The sequence below is a fragment of the Homo sapiens genome, chromosome 4 (genome assembly GCF_000001405.40).
Source record: "Homo sapiens chromosome 4, GRCh38.p14 Primary Assembly".
Classification (NCBI taxonomy): Eukaryota; Metazoa; Chordata; class Mammalia; order Primates; family Hominidae; genus Homo; species Homo sapiens.
The window spans coordinates 146,706,334-146,727,713 of NC_000004.12; the positions used below are offsets into that span (position 1 = coordinate 146,706,334).

Sequence of the window (21,380 nt, forward strand, 5' to 3'; positions counted from 1 at the left end):
TAATATAGTTTGAAGTTGGGTAATATTATGCCTCTGGCTTTGTTCTTTTTGCTTAGGATTGCTTTGGCTATTTGGACTCTTCTTTTGAGAAACCAGATTTAAACTGTATACTAACCAAGATTAAATGGGAATAAAAGGCTTTATTGTTGGTAATGTACTTAATTCATAAATTCCCTTAGATCTTCAGATCTCCTGAAATTATACATGTAACCATCTCAGCTGTGTTCTTTCATTTGCAAGACACATTAGGTAAGGCTTGTAAGATTGAAGGACTTAGTTAAACTTTTTAAGTTGACATGGATAAGTTTTATTATGTGCTATCAGCTAAAAGTATCATAAAATATACTGTTACACAGGTAAAGAAAACTGTTTCAAACAAGACTTATCAGTATGGTAGGCTTAATTGCTTATACTCCTTTTATCTATGTTGAGAAGTTTCCCTAGAGTTTTAGCAAATATTTTCCTACATGAATTCAGCATGAAAGATTTTCTTAAGCTTGTAATTATTTTCTCATTAGAAAATATTTTCTTATTTTGGTTTCATGGTATCACTATTTCTTGTGGAATAGTGGATAAGAGGAAATCATTTATTTCATGGATGATTGCTGATATTTCTAAGAATTGGAATATATTTTATTTTCATGGATTTAGATGTTTTGGATTAAATTTATAGTAACACACTGAAATGCAAAATCCAATGAAAAGAGTCATAGTCCGTTTTATTATAACTCTATATTATCTGTAACATGCTCCTATTACAAGTATTGAAGTCTAAGGTGACATGATGGATTTCTTCTTGCTTTGATGTTAAGTGAAAAGCTGCTTTAAGTTTCATTTTTTTGATCACCTGGAAACCTGAAATAAAATAAATTATAAATTTAACTTTTATACTGGGCTAGAAAGCAAAGAACATTTGTTTTGAAAAATAATTTGTTTTCTGTAATTTTCAGATGTGGCTTCAAAATTAAAAATACTTAACCTTATGTGACATTTGAAAATAAATCTGTGATTTTTTTTAAAGCAGTGTTTCACTATTAAGGTTATCAAGTGCTGGATGAAGCTCCTCTTTTTGTGTTTGGAGAATGAGATTATGCTTAGTATATTGCGCAAAGTGGGTACTTAATAGAAACTTTTTACTTGATTTATCATACCTACTGAGTTCTTCCAAACGTTCTGAGTTTTGAGATACAGCTTCCACTGTGGATCCTCTAAACTCTTCTAAAAAAAAAATACACAAAGTTAATAGATTATCATGAACACAGTTTATAGTTATTTTGATCTTGAACCTGGGAATCCCTTTTCAGGGATATCTGTCCTTATCACCTATAAGATAAGGGTGTATGTATCACCAGGGCAGATTGTATTGTACAAAGATGGCCACAACAATCTCTCCCACTCCACATGTTCCTGTACAGCACGATCTTGTCAATCCCCCATGAAGAAGTAGAATCCAGTTTTCTTCTTGAAATTGAGCTACCCTTAAGATTCTTTTGTGATCAGCTGAATATGGAGGAAGTAACAAAAATGAGTTCTGGGGCTAGGTCCATAAAGGCTATGCAGCCTCTACCTGGTTATCTTAGGATACTTTTTTTGGAGGAAGCAAGTCACCATATAAGTCCTCATACCCTGAGACTGCCATGCTGGAATGGCCACGTATAGATGTTCTAGCAGACAGTCCCAGCTGAGTCTAGCCTTCCAGCCATCTTGGCCAAGTCTCCAGCCTGTGAGTGAAGCTGCCTTTGACCCTTCAAACCAGCCCATCTGTCAGCTGAATACTACTTAGTGACTTCAATTAACGTCCAGACGAGCCCTGCCTGAATTCCTAATCCACAGAATTCTTGTGATATAATAAAATGGCTACTGAAAAGGCCACCTTTTGTTGGGTAAGATGACTTTTAAAAATAATACTCAAAAGGAAAATTAATTTAGGGAGCAATATAAAGTACCCAAATAATGAAGTCAAATATGGGAAGTTTATATATATATATATATATATATATATATATATATATATATATATATACACATGTATGTGTGTGTATATATATAAATACATATATAAACATATATATATAAAAACTTCCCACATTGACTTCATTATTATGATATTGTGATAATGAAATCAAATATGGGAAGTTTATATATGTAGATATATGTGTATATATGACTTCATTTATCATATATTATATGTATATCTATATACATAGAGAGAGCCATGTTAATTTGTTACTTAACTTTAACTTTCATATCTGGCCTTTTACTTTTGATTTCAATTAACTGGGATTAATCTAATAAGGTACCGTTTATTCCTGTTTATGACAGGCCCCAGTTTTCAGGTCCCTTCATTCTATTTTTTATTACCTTTCCTGTTCTGTCCCCATCTCCTACCCACTGAAATTCCTGAAAGAGTTCCACTTTGCCTTTTGGAATATTTGATTCATTATTTTAGCAAAATGTCCTATATCCTTACCCTATTTTCTGAAATTCCTTTTACTTTCTTGCTCTAACAGAAATTTGTCTCTTCTCTCAAGATACTATCAGCCCAGAAACCCATTTTTGTTATTGATTTTCTCGGTCTTCTCACTACTGCACCTGAAGATGGGTTGGTGTCCTCTCCTCCTTGTTCTTTCAGGACCCTTGCCCTTCCTCTTTCCCTTTCTAACACTCATGTCATTAGATTATACAGTCAACCATTTGTCACTATTGTGATCTATCTACAAACGGAATCATTCTCAGTTGATGTTATCATTGCCTCATTGTCACTGTACTACTACTTTCTTAATTTAGTAATTTCAATGTAAAGGTAGAAGATTATTCCACCTTAAGTCTCAATTCCTTGACCTCCTGTTCTTTTACATCTTGTCCTTTACATTACCACAGCCATTAATTCTCCTGGTCATACTTAGACCTTGTCATTATCAGTAACTATGAGCCCCCTCTAGCTCATTTTCCTGCATTTAACTGTTTGGCTGCCTCCTTTTGTATTTCCAGATCACTCCCTCTGGTATCCTGACCCCAGCAATTCTTCTACTTCATTGGAACCTCCAATTCTACCACCTTTTCATTGTTTTTCCTCATTTTTCTGTCTCTTCTTCCTTCCTTATATAATTTAAATTCCATGGTTATCTACTTCCTTGCATAAAGTCTAAATTTCTCTTCTTTTCACTTTGTTTGCTTACTTGGCAAAAGTATAGCCCTAGTTAAATCTAGTTATCTGCCTACTCCTCTCCTGCACTGTATAGTTCAATATGGCTGGAGAAAATACAACTGGCCTGAGATGCCTCGTCTTAAATTCATGGCCACAAACATTAAGTAGACCCTTACACTTCCAGGCCATTCTATGAGACATTCCTAGTCCACTCATTCTTCCACTCCCCTAGATGACTAAATCTTCTATTTTTCTCAAACCTCCCAACCTCCACTTTTCTCAGCTGATGATTTATTTTCTGGCTTCATAGAGGAAATAAATGACAATAGGGAAAATTGTCCACAAGCTTTGTGGCAAGAGTTACTCACCTACTGCTTCTGTTCTGTATACTCTGTCTTCCCTTCTGTTAGTACCAATGAACTGCCTAAGGCCTATCCCTCTACTTCTTCACTAGACCTCATGCCCTCTTGTCTAGACAAGACAGGGTTTCAGTCCTTCCTTCTGCCTCCCACTCATCAGTGCTCTTCCTCTCTATTAGATCTTCCCTATCAGTAGAGAACTATTTAGTTAAAGCCATGTGACTAAGTTCTCAGCAATGAAATGAGCAAAGTAATATACAGTCAAGTGTCACTTAACGACAAGAATACCTTCTAAGAAATGAGTCATTAGGTGATGTTGTTGTACAAACATCACAGAGTGTACTTACACAAATCTAGATGGCACAGCCTACCACATAGCTAGGCTATTATATACTATAGCGTATTACTTCTGGGCTATGAACCTGTTCGGCACATTACTATAGTGAATATTGTAGGCATCTGTAACACTATAATGAATATTTACTATAGCTAAACATAGTAAAGGTAATGCATTGCACCACAGTGTTATGATGGCTAAAATGTCACTAGTACATAGGAATCTTTCAGCTCCATTATAAACTTTTAGTATCACCATTGTGTATGGCATATATTGTTGACAGAAATGTCCTTACGCGGTGCATGACTGGATACTTCTTCTGGGTCTGAGTGTTAGACATTGGGTACTCACTCGCCACAGGACTGTTGGCTCTTGGTTCCATCACTGCAAAAACACTCATTTGGATTATAACCTAGGTTTTGCACTATGGGTCTGACTTAAGGTGTGATTTGAGATGTTTGATCTGTAGGACTTCAAGGGAGCTGGAAGACTGGGAACAGTACCACTCTAGTAAGGGAGACTAGAAGCAACAGCATGTTGAAGTGTGATATTTGCTTATACGATCTACATTTCAGTAGAAATTGGCACTTCTTTGTTGCTAATAGTAAAGACTCTGAAATGGTAGATTCAAGTGGGCAACAAAAAGATCTCATTTATACCACCACTTAGCCTATACGTTACAAAAGCAATAGAATAAGCCAGTAAATGCTAAATTGCTATAAATCCACCATCGCATCCCTTTTTTGAAAACAATGGAATATAATATTTATATTATACAGTATTCTATGTAAACAAGATTTTAAAAATGTTATCTGTAGAGAAGGATGAATTGAAATGGAGAAGACATTACCTGGTAGTTTGGGGACTGGAAAGGTAAATGAATTTTTATAATTTTGGCATGCTAAACATTTGTAGTGGCCTTACTCTAAAAAAGGGTAAATAACTCATTCATAAAGGTTGTGTCAGAGTTTATAGACTAGACCCCTGGTAATGGATTCAACCTTTCTTCAACAAACCAAAAGTATTGTTGTATGCTCACATGAATATACAGTAGTCATTACCTTAAATTTAAAACTCACTATAAGCAGCAAACACAGAGAGCATGATATGAAGGCTGTATTGTATCAGTGTGGTCTGCAGAGAATTTCTTCATATGGTTTTTGCCTTGTTGAAATATATGTTGCAGTTCAAAGCTAAAGGGATTACTTTTGAATAGTCATCACAGAGGTTGATTACATTCGTATATCATATTTAGCTGGACCCTGCAGGCTATTATTCCATTAGCTACGCCGGTCCTGCCATTGTCAAAAAGTTGATCACCTAATGTTAAAAGACTGTGCTTTCTGTTGACCTTATCATAATGACTCAAAAGCTTTTGTTAAAAAATAAAACTCAGATTATGTTTTATGAAACTGATTAAGAATAAATACTGCGTATAAACTATGCTCCTATCTTATAGGTGATTGTAACATTATGCTATTATTAACGATGAGATGTTTTGTTTTTGTATTTCAGCAGATTTTATTGATAGTCATAGATTCAATTTTAGTAGAAACAGTACTTCTCTCTCACTGATAGTAAAGAGTCTCAGAAACTGATTTCTGAAAAAGGAACAGAAGTCTCCCTTCCCCACCATGTAAATCATATAAAATTACTCTGGAAGTAAGCCAGTATATCAATGTTAATATAATGGCACATCTACAATGGCCTGCTTATAATATGATTTTACAAGGCCACTGTACTGAAGAGAACGAAGTTCTGTTTGGGGGAAATGTGTATATGAACTGAAAACTTGTCAATCACACTTGATAATGAGAAAATCCCTTCCAATAAATAAATAAATAAATAAATACATAAATAAATAGAATATTTAACTGTTTATTCTTAATATGATGGTTGTATAGGTTCACTCATTTAATTACAATGAGAATATCTGATTCAAGGCTATGAATCTGGTTTTTATAAACCCAGAATCCCATTACCAATAAAAGGCTTATTTAGATAAGCTTGACTTTTAAATTATTTTATTATGAATTAGCCACAAATAAGGAATGAAATGAGAGCTCATCTTTGAAAAAGATATTGACAGTTATGACTTTATTATTTGAAGTAACATATAAATTTTTTCATTAAAATCACATTACGAAAGCTGTCCTTTGGGAAAAAAGATGATTTTGACGCTATCTCAGTTGAACAGCTAAGTCCTTGAGCTGTGTTCCCAGGAGTGATGATGGATTGACATAGACTCATGTGTGCTCTTTGGCATGGTCTACCTTGTAACTGATGGTTTGTAAAACGGCTGGTCAGGGATGCAGGCTGTGATCCTGGAACACAGCCAGACACTAATTTTGGCCTCATTAGCACTGTTCTCTTAATCAATTGAACTTTTCAGCAGAGGTTTCCTAATATTTCTTGTACTTGCTTGCCTTTAGCTACCCACTTGATACTCACAATAGATGAGTGGGTATCAGTCAGGAAGAAACAGATGGCACATGCAACTGGGATTTTGAAGAGACTTTAATGAAGGGACTATTAAGAGATGAGGGCAGGGCTAAGGAGCTAATAAGGGATATTGAGGCACCTAGGGACTTGCAAAAGAGGGTGCCATGCCATTATCATCTCTGGGTCTAAATTCAGGGTAAAGAGAGAGGATGGTGCCACTGGACTTTGGGTGAGGGCAGAGATTTAGAAAAGGGACTGCCTTTTCTAAATCTAGAAGTAGCAGTTGTAGAGTGTCACAGTTGTCAGAAAGGAGCTGAAGAAGTGAGGGACAGAGGAATAGTATTCTAACTCTCCACCTTCCTAACCTCTCATCTGCTGGTGACTCCCTTTGGCTAAATACATACGATGAAGCCAGAAAGCAAGTCAGCCTGTGTGATGCAGTCTGAAGTCAGTCTCCTGGGACACAGAGCAGAGAAGGTGGGAGAATTGATCGTGTGTGTGTGTGTGTGTGTGTGTGTGTGTAAGAGGTGGGGGAGGGGAAACAAGTAGCATATAATAACCATAAAATGCAAATGTTTTCCTTTAGCAAACATTTAGTCATGTGAAGTGTGGTTTGAGCGTCAACATATTTAATGTTGGCATATAATTGGGTGTTTCTTTATTCGTTTTCCTCCTCCTCCTCCTCCTCCTTGTTCTATAATATTGGTTTGTCATTCATGCATTCATGGCTTTCTCATCTTACAGTTTTGTAAAAAATTTATGAATCAAAGCCTGAGATTATAGAGTTAATCTCACTCTATCAAAAATATGTGATTTGGGGGGTAATATTTTTCTACATTTTGTTGTTAACAAAACAAAAAGTTAATCTTTCTTATCTGTGTTTTGAAGTAGAAATCATGATGTGGTAATTCTATATCTGATGAGTAAAATAATCAAGATGGAAACTTTTAAGGCAGGAGACACTTTCAAGTTTGGATAGACTCTCTTAAGTGTCAAAAACTGACGTGTTCTTTCATATTACAGGATCTGGTATATATCAATTCCCTTGCCAAGGGCTTTTATTAATATTCAAGCAATTAAAATTTATGCAAAGATCAGAAGTATATTCCAATTCAAAAGTATAGGGTTTTTTTTAACCTTACACACCATTATTCTGAATAAATGGAATGCAACTAGGCCTGAATGAAGCATTGAAGATACCATATTGACATAGAATGATACTGAATTTCTTTTTCTGGGCATCTAAACTTTTAATGAGAATATCTGATTCAGGTCTATTAATCTGTCCAGACACTAAATACTTTCTTAAGATAAATAGTGTGTTAATGTCTTCATACAGTTCTTTTTATTTCTCTGATTGTTGCTACATTATAAATCCCGCAATTTTTTTCTATTCAAGACAGTGTAACAGAAATCAGATTGACTCTTTTCCTAAAACACTCCTCCCTACCCAAAAAATCCTGAACAAAATATATGAAACAATGATTTTGAAGACACTGGACATCAGACAACAAAAGCCAGTGATTTCTGAAAGACAAGAAATATGTTTGAATACAAAACATGCAAAAAGGCACAATGTGGAGAAAAAGCAATCAAAACTGGCCCAGAACAGACATAGTTATTAGAATTAGGAACAAAAACAAAGTTACTCTAACTGTATTTTAGATATTTAAAATGTTAAGTAGAGACATGGAAAATAAAATAAAACATTAATAAACTTGAAGACAGAGTAGTAGAAACCTCAAAATGAAGAAAGAAAGAGAGTCAAAAAGATGAACATATTATCAGTAAACCATAAGACAGCTTTAAGCAGCCTAATAGACATTTACTGGCATTATAAAAAGGAGATTGAGAAAGAATTGAAACATAGTTCAAGAAATTGGGCAGAAAATTTTCTAAAATTGCTGAAGACTATAAACCCATAGATCCAAGAAGCTCAACAGACCCCAAGCTTAAGAAACTTAAAGTACGAAAAGAAAAAGAAAAAAAAAAACCTATAAAATGTACAATGACATACCCACTGAAAATATCTTTTAAAAATGAAGGCAAAAATAAAGGCTTTTCAGACAGACAAAAGCTGAAGCAATTCATTAGCAGCATATTTGCACTACAAGTCCTCAAGGCAGAAGAAAAATGATACCACATGGCAATCTGGATCTATGTAAACAAATGAAGAGCATCAGAGGTAAGTACAATGCATGACAACGTTGCACAAAGGTGAGAAGGGGAGAAATGGAAGGATGTAATTGTAAACTTCTTCTTTTATTGAGACAGGGTCTCGCTTGCTGCAGCCTTGACCTTACAGGCTCAAGCAATCCTCCTGCCTCCTCAGCCTCCCAAGTAGCTGGGACTACAGGCGTATGCCACCATGTCTGGCTAATTAAAAAAAAAAAATTCTTGTAGAGATGGGATCTTGTTTCATTGCCTACTCTGCTCTTGAACTCCTGGCCTCAAGCAATCCTTCTGTCTTGGTGTCCCAAAGTGTTGGGATGACAGGCATGAGCTAACATGCCTGGCCTATAAGATTCTTATACTATGTTTTACTGTTGGTGGGAATGTAAATTAGTACAGCCATTATGGAGGTTTCTCAAAAAACTATAAAACTAGAACTATCATGCAATCCAGCAATCCCACTGCTGGGTATTTATAAAAAGGAAATAAAATAAATACATTAAAGGGATACCTGCACGTCCATGTGTATTGCAGCACTATCTACAATAGGTAAGATATGGAATCAACCTAAGTGTCCGTTAACAGACAAAAGGATGAAGAAAATGTAGTGTATATACCCAATAGAATACTATTCAGCTACAAAACAGAATGCAATCCTGTCATTTGCCACCACAGAAATGAGCCTGGTGAACATTATGTTCAGTGAAATAAGGCAAGCACAGAAAGATAAATACTGCATGTTCTCACTGACATGTAGAAGCTAAAATAATTCCAGCTCTTGGAAGTAGAGAATAGGATAGTGGGTATTAGAGGCTGGGAAGGGTCGGGGGATGGGAGAAGGTGGGAGATGTTGGTTAATGGATACAAAATTACAGCTAAATAGGAGGAATGAAGTCTGGTGTTCTGTAGAATTGCAGGGTGGATATGGTTAACTATAATTTATTGACTATTTTCCAAAAGCTAGAAGACCGAATTTTGAATGTTCACAACACAAAGAAATGATAAATGTTTGAGGTGATGGCTATGCTAATTACCCTGATTTGATCATTACACATTGTAAACACGTATCAAAATATCATCCTGTATTCCATAAATATCTACAATTATAATGTGTCAACTAAAAATAAAAGGGAAAAAATTCTTACACTATGTGTTAAATGATCTAATGTCACTTGAAGGTAGGTTGTGAAAAGTTAAAGATATACACTGATCATTATTTTTGTTTTTACATTTTAGTTTACACTTTTCATTTAAATATTCTGGATAGAAAAAAAATAAGATTTGAAAAATCAACATCTCTCGAATCTGAAAATAAGAAAGCCTGTCTCTAATTTAAACATTAATTTGAAAACTTATCCTTCTCATATATTCCCCTGATCTGAGGCTTGAAGATAAGCTAATGAATTCAAAGAAATGACCATTTCATTATCACTCAGAAAGTTTAATTTTGTTGACCAAATTATGTGCAGTGTAATACATATAATATGAAACTAAATGCTGATAGGTAGGTTTGAATTTTCTTTTTCTGGTTACTTCAGAGTAACAGTTTGGAAAATATACAAGCTCTGTATTCATGTTCTTTTCATATTCTCTGTACTTTAGAACAGAGAATTATATGAGATAATTTTTTGTAATGCTTTATTGAGGTATGATTGACATAATAAAAGTTGTACATATTTAATTTATAAAACTTGATGGGTTTGGAGCTAAGTATATGTCTGTGAAACCATTCAAAATCTATGCTGTAAACACATCCATCATCCAGGGGATGATATTTTTAATGAATAATCCAGAGATGTGAAAATGAATGTTTTCGTAAAAATTGAGTTTTCTAATGTATGTTGAGATTTCCAAAGAAGAGATACTGTAGATATACAGTATCCAGTCCAAATATAGTATTATAAGATGAGTAAATATATATATCTGGTCAGCAGCAAAGTAGTTCCTAGAAATAACATCTCTGAAAAACCCAAACAATTCCCTCACCAAAATTAAAAATCAAAACCTTGTACATCCCAGCTAAGATATTCTTCCTCTTAAATTTTCATAAGAATGAACTGGTCTATTTAAAACAATGACAGTGAGAAATACATTTTGAAAGAAGTCACCAGTTTCCAGGTGACCTATATGTCTGCTACTCAAAGTGTGGTCTCCAAACCAGGAGCATTAACATTTCCTGGAGCTTGTTAGAAATGCAGAAATGTAGGCCGCACTTCAGACCTAGTAACACAGAATCTGCCTTTTAACAGGATCCCAAGGTAATTCATTCGCCCATTAAAGTTTGACAATCGTTGCTTTATGGATTTATATTTAACTATGTAGAGTAGGAGTAAAATATTAATAGCATGTTGGAAAAAGGAGTTGTAGCTGCTTGGCTGTTGCTCAGTTGCAACATTTAGATAATAAGTAAATATAAATTTTTTCCCATGGATTGAGAACATATTTTGTAATAGGGAATATGGTCAGCACTTGTATGGTTATTATTATTAGTAGTAGTAGTATTTTGAGATGGAGTCTCACTCTGTCGCCTAGGCTGAAGTACAGCGGCACAATCTCGGTTCACTGCAATCTCTGCCTCCCAGTTCAAGCGATTCTTCTGTCTCAGCCTCCCAGGTAGCTGGGATTATAGGGGCCCACTATCATGCCCGGCTAATTTTTGTATTTTTAGTAGACATGGGGTTTCACCATGTTGGCCAGGCTGGTCTTGAACTCCTGACCTCAGGTGATCCGCCCACCTCAGCCTCCCAAAGTGCTGGGATTACGAGTGTGAGCCATTGCGCCCAGCTGGCACTTTATTATTTAGCTTTAATTTTTAATTGTACATTGACAAATTATAATTATATATATTTATGGGGTACAAAGTGATGTTATGATCTATGAATACAATGTGAAATGGTTAAATCAAGCTAGTTTGTGTGTCCAGCACTTCAAATGCTTATCATTTTTTTATGGTGAGAGCATTTGAGAATTACCGTCTTAGAGATTCTGAAATGTACAATACATTATTACTGACTATATTTACCATGATGTGCAATATATCTTAAAGAAAAAACCTTATTCCTCCTGTCTAATTGAGGCTTTGTACTTTTTTACCATTATCTTCCCATTTCCCTCACCACTGATAACCATCCTTCTGCTCTCTGCTTCTTTGAGTTAGATTATTTTAGATTCCAATATAAGTGAGAACATTTTATATGTGTCTTTCTATGCCTGGCTTATTTCATTTAGTATACTATTCTCCAATTCCATCTATGATATTGCAAATGACAGGATTTATCATTTTTTAAGGCTGAATAATACTTCATTATATATATATCACATTTTCTTTATCCATTCATTGGTTTATGGACACTTCCATGACTTGGCTATTAGGAATAGTGCTGCAATGAACATGGGACTGCAGACATCTGACATGCTGATTTCAAATATTTGGGTAAATACCCAGAAGTAGGATTGCTGTATCATATGGTAATTTTATTTTTAGTTTTTGAGAAAACTCCATACAGATTTCTGTAATGGTTGTACTAATTTATAGTCCCACCAATAGTGCACAAGGGTTCCCTTTTCTCCACCTCCTTGCCAACATTCACCTTTCATCTTTTTGGTAACAGCCGTTCTAACAGGTGTGGTTTGATATCTCATTGTGACTTTAGTTTACTAGTGATTAATGATGTTCAGCAATGTTTCCATATGTCTGTTCGCCACTTATGTCTTTGTTTTTGAGAGAGATGTCTATTCAGGTCCCTAGCCTATTTTAAAATTAGACCATTTGCTTTCTTTCTGTAGAGTTGTTTGAGTTTTTTATATGTTGGTTATTAATCCCTTATCAGATGTATGGCTTGCAAACATCTCCTTCCAATGCATAGGTTTTCTCTTCACTCTGTTGTTTTCTTTTTTTGTGCAGAAACTTTTAATTTTGATGTAATCCCATTTGTCTGTTTTTGCTTTTGTTGCTACACTTTTGGGGTCAAATCTAAAAAGTTATTGCCTAGACCAACGACACATAGTTTTCCCCTTATGTTTTCTTCTAGTGGCATTAACAGTGTCAGGTCTTATGTTTAAGTCTTCAATTCATTTTGAATTGATTTTGCGTATGATGTGCGTTAAGGTTCAAATTTCATTCTGCATACGGATATCCAGTTTTCTCAGCATCATTTATTAAAGAGACTGTCCTTTTTCTATTGTGTATTCTTGGCACCTTTCTTGAAAATCAATTGACCATACACACATGTGTGGGTTGATTTATGGGTTCTCTATTCTGTTCTATTGGTCAATAACTCTATTTTTTGCCAGTATCACACTGTTTTAATTATTATCAGTTTGTAGTATATTTTGAAGTCAGGTAGTGTGATGCCTCCAGATTTGTTCTTTTTGCTCATCATTGCCTTGGCTATTGGGGTGTGTGTGTGTGTGTGTGTGTGTGTGTGTGTGTGTGTCTGTGTGGTTCCATATAAATTTTAGGATTGTCTTTTCTATTTATGAAAAATGACGTTAAATCTCTCAACTACCCTATGCTTTAGGTATTATTATTCATTTTGTACAGATAAGGAAACAAAAGGTTGGAGAGATTAACTTGCTGAATCTCACACAGCTGATAACTATTTCATTGGAGATTCAAATCCAGGTTAATTTGGATCTTAAATCCATCCTCATAGCTTCTGTGCTCATTCTCACTTCAATGAATTCAAAAGGAAGGTAAGTCTTAAGAAAACCTCTTAGGCAAGTGTATAGCGTTAGGCTTGGAAAGACTGATTTATTTGACTTTGTGGCAAGAATTACTGCAGCAAACCTATTTAGTTCTTAATAGTTGTTTGTCTATTTACTTTCTTGTCTTTTAGAGACCATTCCTAATGCAGCAGTTAAGAAAAAAGTCACATACTCCAGGGATCTTCCTGAAAACCACTAATCTGACATGTAGGCTATGACAACTGAGATTGGCCTAGTGAGAAATCAAATCTAGGGTTTCCATCATGTAAGTTGTTGTCTTTATTTCATTATACTTTGATTCAACCCCTAATGGATTCAGCTTCATAAAGTCAGAAAAAGAAAAAAAAAGCAATTTATTCATGTTTTCATTGGAGCTCACTGCAGTCATGAAATTTCTCTAAAAATGCAAATCATTTGGTGCCACGTAAGTGAAACTTGGTAGCTAAAGTGCTTAGAGGAAAATGCTTTCCCAGGGCTAATGTTTTCATGCCCAGTGATTGAATAAATCGATCCATTTATTACAACATCTTCACTTAAGATTTTGTCCCTAGATGAATGTGTCTAAGAGTACTAGAAGACTTTTCTTTATCACTGAGAAAATTGATTACACTTGTTAATTTGGCTTTTAATCCTAGATATATAAAAATAAATACCATAAACATGTGTAGAAGAAATCAATATAGATCTGTTCAATATCAGATTGATCAAAAAAGGATTTAGTAAGACTCTAAGATGTAAAATACTAATGTACAAACTAAGCCCTTACTTATGTAATACGACTTTAGACGAGCTCAGTATAAACCTAAAAGAAACTATTCCTGAAAACAGAAATGGTATACTTTTCTTGCATTAAAGAAAAACCCCCAGAAGGCCTACCTATCCAAGGTATTTAATGTGAACATTTGTTTTTAAAAGATTTCTTGTCTTTGGTCCAGCCACTGTTGTTAATTCATGGGGCATCATATCACAGAATTTTTATGTTACGTAAAGCAAAAATTACACTTAACAAATGTAAGGTTAAGTCATAAAAAATAGATAAAACAACACTTCTAAAAGCCAAGATATGACATGGAAAGGCTATCAGTCATTCTTTTCAGAGAAAGTGAGGACAATGAGAAATAAAAATAATATTCAAAGACTCCTGAAATGCCACTTAGACTGGCTCTGGCCCATTATGTCATGTGTTTTGTAGAACTCAATAGCAAACCAAGTAGACACTCTTTTGACTAAGCATATTTTTTATTCTGCTTGTATAATAATGAATAAGACAGAGATTCACACTACTCCACTCTCAGAATGATGCAAGTTTAAAACTGCTTTTCTGGTAGTAATATGGTTTATGTTGAATATACACAGTGTCAGTCACAAATGATAATCTCTATTCATTTGTCACACACTCAACAGATATTCATTGAGAACCCAAGTGAAAAACACACATTTGTGGGATAGGTGCTTGGGTGCAGTTTGTAATTGATTTCAAATTAGATAGATTCAGAGGTACATGGCTGAGGAGGGGCATGGGAAGTTTAATCTGCAATTATGGCATAACCCTCTGAATTAGTGCATGACCCTCAGAGAAGAAATGAGGTTTTTATGTACAATTTCTTAAAACAATTAATTTAGTAGGGGACACAGAGTTTCAAAACAAATACTGACTTTAAAGGAATAAAGTTAAATGCATTTAAATGCTTGTCCCAATAAAAATAGTCTGCTGGGTTTCCATGGTAGGACTCAGGTTCCTTAACAGCTTAATCGGTGGGTCAAATATGAAAAGTCACAGAAAAGCAGAGCATCTCTGTGTTAGAGCATGTTTTCTCAACACTCAAAGTGCACACGATACAAATGTGTATACATTTTGACTGATAAGTCGAAGTCATTTCTGGAGAAATTTTTATGGTTAGAATTTTAGTACATAATCACCATTTCCTTGTAATCTTCAGATTATAAACTTTTCTCTTTTGAAAACTAATATATTTGTCCCTGTATCTGTAGCACCTTGCATGATGTCTTAGAGCTAGTATATACATAGTGTTTTCTGAGTGAACAGTCTGCAGCTTATGATTTACTTTAAAAATATGACACAATAAAATGTTAGTTGGCACATAGAAGGTGACCGTTAGATGTCTACTGAAAGACAGACAGAGTGAGTTAACGCATCTATTCTTAAAAGTTTATATGACAGTACAAAAGACATATAGTAAAGACAAAGCTGTGGGTTTGAAACGCCAGATTAAAAAAATTCAACAGCAAGATCTATGGACAACTCTTTAATAAGTACATAAAAATTAGTTATGTAAGGAAGTCCTACCCAGAGCAATCAGGCAAGAGAAAGAAGTAGAAAGTATCCAAATAGTATAATAAGTCATAAAACGATCTCTCTTTGTTGATGATAGGATTCTATACCTAGAAAACCCTAAAGACTCTGCCAAAAGGCTCCTGGAACTGATAAACAACTTCAGTAAAGTTTCAGGATACAAAATCAATGTAAAAAAATCAGTAGCATTTCTATACAACAATAACGTTCAAGCTGAGAGTCAAATCAAGAACAGAGTCCCATTCACAATAGACACACACACACACACACACAATTACCTAGGAATACATCTAACCAAGGAGCTGAATGATCTCTACAAGGAGAACTGCAAAATACTGCTCAAAGAAACCATAGATGACACAAACCAATGGAAAAACATTCCATGTTCATGGATTGGAAGAATAAATATTGTTGAAATGGCCATAATTTCCAAATCAACCTGCAGATTCAATGCTGTTCCTATCAAGCTACCAACATCATTTTTCACAAACGGATAAAAAACAATTCTAAAAATCATACAGAACCAAAAAAGAGCCCAAATAGCCAAAGCAATCCTAAGCAAAAAGAATAAAGCCAGAGGTCCCACACTACACTACCCAACTTCAAACTATACCATAAGGCCACAGTAAACAAAACAGCATGGTACTGGTACAAAAACAGACACATAGACCAATGGAACAGAATGGAGAACCTGAAAATAAAGCTGCACACCTACGGCCACCTGATTTTTGACAAAGTCAACAAAAATAAGCAATGGAAAAAAGACTCCTTATTCAATAAATGGTGCTAGAATAGCTGGCTAGCCATATGCAGAAGAAAAAAAAATGGACCCCTACCTTTTACCATATTCAAAAAGTAACTCAAGATGGATTAAAGGTTTATTTTATTTTATTTTTATTTTTTTGAGACAGGGTCTCACTCTGTTTCCAGATTGGAGTGCAGTGGCACAATCTTGGCTCACTGCAGCCTCTGCTTCCTGGGTTCAAGCAATTCTCCTTCCTCAGCCACCTCAGTAGCTGGGATTACAGGTATGCACCGCCATACCCTGCTAATTTTTGTATTTTTAGTAGAGACAAGGTTTTGCCATGTTGCCCAGGCTGGTCTCAAACTCCTGAGCTCAAGCGATCCACCCGCCTCAGCCTCCCAAAGTGCTGGGATTACAGGCATGAGCCACGGCACCTGGCCTGAATTAAAGATTTAAATGCAGGCAGATCACCTGAGGTCAGGGGTTCAAGACCAGCCTGGCTAACATGGTGAAACCCCGTTTCTACTAAAAGTACAAAAAATTAGCCAGGTGTGGTGGCACGTGCCTATAATCCCAGCTACTCGGGAGGCTGAAGCAGGAGAATCACTTGAACTGGGAGGCGGAGGTTGCACTGAGCCAAGATCACACCATTGCACTCCAGCTTGGGCAACAAGAGCAAAACTCCGTCAAAAAAAAAAAAATTAAATGTAAGACCTCAAACAATAAGAATCCTAGAAGAAAACAGGAAACACCATTCTGGACATGGGCCTTGGGAAATAATTTATGACTCAGTCCTCAAAACAATTGCAGCAGAAACAAAATTTGACAAGTGGGACCTAATTAAACTAAAGAGCTTCTGTACAGCAAAATAAACTATCAACAGAGTAAACAATCTACAAATGGGAGAAAATATTCACAAACTATGCATCTGACAAATATTTAATACCCAGAATCTATAAGGAACTTAATTAAATGAGCAAAAGACAAAAACTCCATTAAAAAGTGGGCAAATGACATGAACAGACACTTCTCAAAAGAAATCATACAAAGAGCCAACAAACGTATGAGAAAGTGCTCCACATAACTAATCATCAGAGAAATGCAAATCAAAACCAGAATGAGATACCATCTCACACCAGTCAGAATGGCTATTATTCAGAAGTGAAACAGCAGATGCTTGTGAGCCTGTGGAGAAAAGGGAATGCTTATGCACTGTTGGTGGGAATGTAAATTAGTTCAGCCACTGTGGAAAGCAGTTTGGAGATTCCTCAGAGAACTGAAAACAGAACTACCAGTCAACTGAGAAATCCCATTACTGGGTATATATCTAAAAGAATATAAATTGTTGTACCAAAAGACATGCTCTCACATGTTTATTGCAGCTTTGTTCAGAATACCAAAGACATGGAGCCAACCTAGTTTCCCATCAATGGTGGACCGAATAAAGAAAAGGCACACATATACACCATGGAATACTATGCAGTCACAAAAAGAGTGAAATCATGTCCTTTGCAGCAACATGGATGCAGCTGGAGGCCATTATCCTAAGTGAATTAATGCAGGAACAGAAAACCAAATACTGCATGTTCTCACTTACAAGTAGGAGTTAAACATTGGGTACTCATAGACATAAAGATGGCAAAAATAGACACTGGGGGCTACTAAACGGGGAGGCAGAGAAGGAGGCAAGGATTGAAAATCTAGCTGTTGGGTGCTATGCTCGCAATTTGGGTGATGGGATCTATTTATTGCATACCTCAGCATCACAGAATATGTCCAAGTAACAAACCTGCATGTGTACCCCCCAAATCTAAAATAAAAGTTGAAATTATAAAAAAAGATAATTTTTAAGAACTGATTTTCCTCTTGAATATATTATTTGCTCCTTTTACAAGGAAAAGTCTAAACTTTTAGTCACAGTTTATAAAATGCTTTAGAGAAGAAATGAGATTTTTATGTTCAACTTCTTTTTTTTTTATTTTTTTATTTTTTGAGACAGAGTCTCACTCTGTCATGGCACAAGTTGGCTCACTGCAACCTCTGCCTCCTGAGTTCAAGCAATACTCCTGCCTCAGCTTCCCGAGTAGCTGGGATTACAGGTGCCCACCACCACGCCTGGCTAATTTTTGTATTTTTAGTAGAGACGGGGTTTCACCACGTTCGCCAGGCTGGTCTTGAGCTCCTGACCTCAGGTGATCCGCCTGCCTCGGCCTCCCAAAGTGCTGGGATTACACACCATCATGCCTGGCCATCAGCTTCTTAAAATAATTTAAAATAATTATTTAAGTTCAAAGAAATACATGCTTGTTTTTCCTTCCTTTCTTAATGGAGGAAGACTTCAGCTATACGACTTATCTTAATTTTTATGGATTCTGTGGTTTTTACGCAGTTTACAGGTATTGAGTCACCTTTCCCCATTGCAGTCAGTGTAACTGGAGTATATATGGGCATAGAGGGGAGAAGAGAGAATGAATACTAGCTTTGGAAGATTGTTTATCCTTTCTACTCAAATAATCTGCCTCCTTCAAATTTAACTTCTTTGTTTCGATTGCACTGTGGTAGGGACAAAAAAGTACTGTATCTTAAAACCAAACATATTTTTCCTGGAAAGGCATTATATAAACTATACTTCAGTGAAAGAGATGCTACTAAAAGATATGACAGTACTTATTCAGATGATAAAAATTACTGGAAAGGCCAGACTGGTAGATCACACCTGTAATCCCAGCACTTTGGGAGGCTGAGGCGGGAGGATTGCCTGGGCTCAAGAATTCTGAGCCAGGCTGGGCAACATAGTGAGACTTTGTCTCCACAAAAAATTTTAAAAAATTAGCCAAATGTGGTGATGCATGCCTATATTCCCAGCTACTTGGGAGGCTGAGGTGGGAAGATTGCTTGAGCCTGGGGAGGTCAAAGCTGCAGTGAGCAGGGATCTCACCACTGCACTCCAGCCTGGGTGACAGAGTGATACCTTGTTTCAAAAAAACAGTTACTGGAAAAAAGGCTACTTTTATGGCTAATTCCACGTAACTAAATTAGGTTGAAGAAAACTTTATATTGTCTTATCACCAAAAAGCCTATTTTATATCTATCTGTCCATTATATCTGTCTGCCTGTCTATCCATCTTTCATCAAGGTGTTTGCCTGCATCATTCTTGCCATCTTCTGATCTAAGAAACTGAGAATAAAAAAACCAAATAGCCTATATAGTTTAAAGTGTTGATTTGCTCCAATATTGTAGAGCATTTCATTCCACATATTCGGAAAGCCAAGTAAATTACATATCAACTTGAATAGAGTCCCTTACACCTATACACCTATTCTATATTTTTAGAGTCAGGGTCTCACTCTGTTGCCCAGGTTGGAGTGCAATGGTGTAATTATAGTCCACTGCAGCCTGCAACTCCTGGACTCAAGTGATCCTGTCACCTCAGTCTCCCAAATAATTAGGACTATTGATGTGTACTACCAAACTCAGCTAATTTTTTATTTTAATTTTAGAGACAGCGGTATTGCTATATTGCCCAGGCTGGTCTCAAACTCCTGTCCTCAAGTGATCCTCCTGCCTTGGCCTCCCAAAATGTTTGGGATTACAGGTGTAAGCCATCATGCCAGGTCTAAACCATGTATAAAAAAATTTCAGCTGGGCACTTTGGGAGCCTGAGGCAAGTGGATCACTTGAGGCCAGGAGTTTCAGACCAGCCTGGACAAATGGTGAAATCCTGTCTTTACCAAAAATTCAAAAAGTAGGTGGGTGTGGTGGTGCACGCCTGTAATCCCCGCTACTCAGAAGGCTGAGGCAGGAGAATTGCTTGAACCCGGGAGGCGGAGGTTGCAGTGAGCCGAAATTGCACCACTGCACTCCAGCCTAATACAGTGAGACTCTGTCTCAAAAAGAAAAAAAATATTTGACTCAGTACCTACCTTCACATCTCCTACTCAGTTATGTCTTACTCAGATTGGCCTGTTTTCTTTTTCAAGTATTGTCATAAAAGTACTCTTTTCTTTTTGACACCTGTTATCTTGCTCAAGGTTTTGTGATATTTTTCATGAAGATGGTATATAGACAGCATATTTGGAACAATGTTAAGGGGAATCTACTGCTTTATGCATATTACTGATGACTTTATGAAGCCACCTTTTCTAAATTATAAAATATAAACTAAGTTACTCACATAAGGGTTTGAACTTGGAAGAGTAACTAAATAGAACAGTTCCTTTGCATTGACATTATTACAGAACTTTATTAACTTTTGTGAAAGAGTAAAGAAAATAATAGGCCCTAAGAATTCTGTAATTATTCTCTGTGGATCACATTCCTTACTTTAAAAATTAAAAAATTTTTGCATAGATGATTCTTGCACGTGGTACATTTTTAAAAAAGGGTAGACAGTGAAAAATCTGTTTGAAATCCTTGATCCCACTTACTTACTTCCTTTCCTCTAGAGGCAACCACTGTTACTGTTTCTTACTCTTTCAGATACGTTCCATGCACTTATAAAAAGATAAAATGATATATATTTATATAAAATATATAATATAAATTTGTGTTTTATATTTATATGAATGTCACCATACTATGCACACATTTCTGTACTTTTTAAGAAGCAATATATATTAGATATCATTCTCTCTCTCTTTTTACATATTTTATTTTTTAGAGCAGTTTCGGTTTACAGCAAAACTGAGCAGAAAGTACAGAGTTCCCATATACCATGCACAGTCTCTCCCACTTTGACATCTGGCACGAGAGTGGTGCATTTCTTATAATGGATGAACCTACCTTGACAAATCGTTATCACCCAAAGTCCGTAATTTACATTAGGGTTCACTTTTGGTGTTACACATTCTTTGGGTTTTGAAAAATATATAATGACATGTACTCACCATTACAGAATCATAAAATAGTTTCACTGCTCTAAAAATCCTCTGTGCTTTGCCAATTAATCTTTCCCTCCCTGAAACCACCGATTTTTGAAAATCTTTTCCATAGTGTTGCCTTTTTCTAGAATGTCCTAGAGTTGAAATCATATAATATGTAGCCTTTTCAGACTGGCTTCTTTCACTTAGTAATATGCATTTAAGATTCCTCCATATCTTTTCATAGGTTGATAATTCATTTCTTTTTGGTGCTGAATAATATTCCATTGTCGGGA

The 21,380-nt window shown here is 35.7% G+C and overlaps 1 protein-coding gene across 11 annotated transcripts in view; it reads right to left on the reverse strand.

The window, feature by feature from the left end:
• Nucleotides 1–283: 283 nt before the first annotated feature.
• The window catches only part of TTC29 (tetratricopeptide repeat domain 29), a 239,248-nt gene continuing 218,151 nt past the window's right edge, over nucleotides 284–21,380 (reverse strand). For 6 of the 11 annotated variants that reach the window (NR_133922.3, NM_031956.4, XM_006714339.3 and 3 more), the window contains 2 exons: nucleotides 1,152–1,218; nucleotides 284–855 (listed from right to left, as the gene is read on the reverse strand). Coding sequence is in view for 8 of the 11 variants with exons in the window: in NM_031956.4 (NP_114162.2) it covers nucleotides 825–855; nucleotides 1,152–1,218 (98 nt within the window). In the remaining 3 variants the exon portion in view is untranslated. Of the gene's footprint in view, nucleotides 856–1,151; nucleotides 1,219–21,380 lie in introns of those variants that run through there. The other 5 variants (NM_001317806.3, XM_006714336.2, XM_006714335.2 and 2 more) reach the window with 2 other exon arrangements.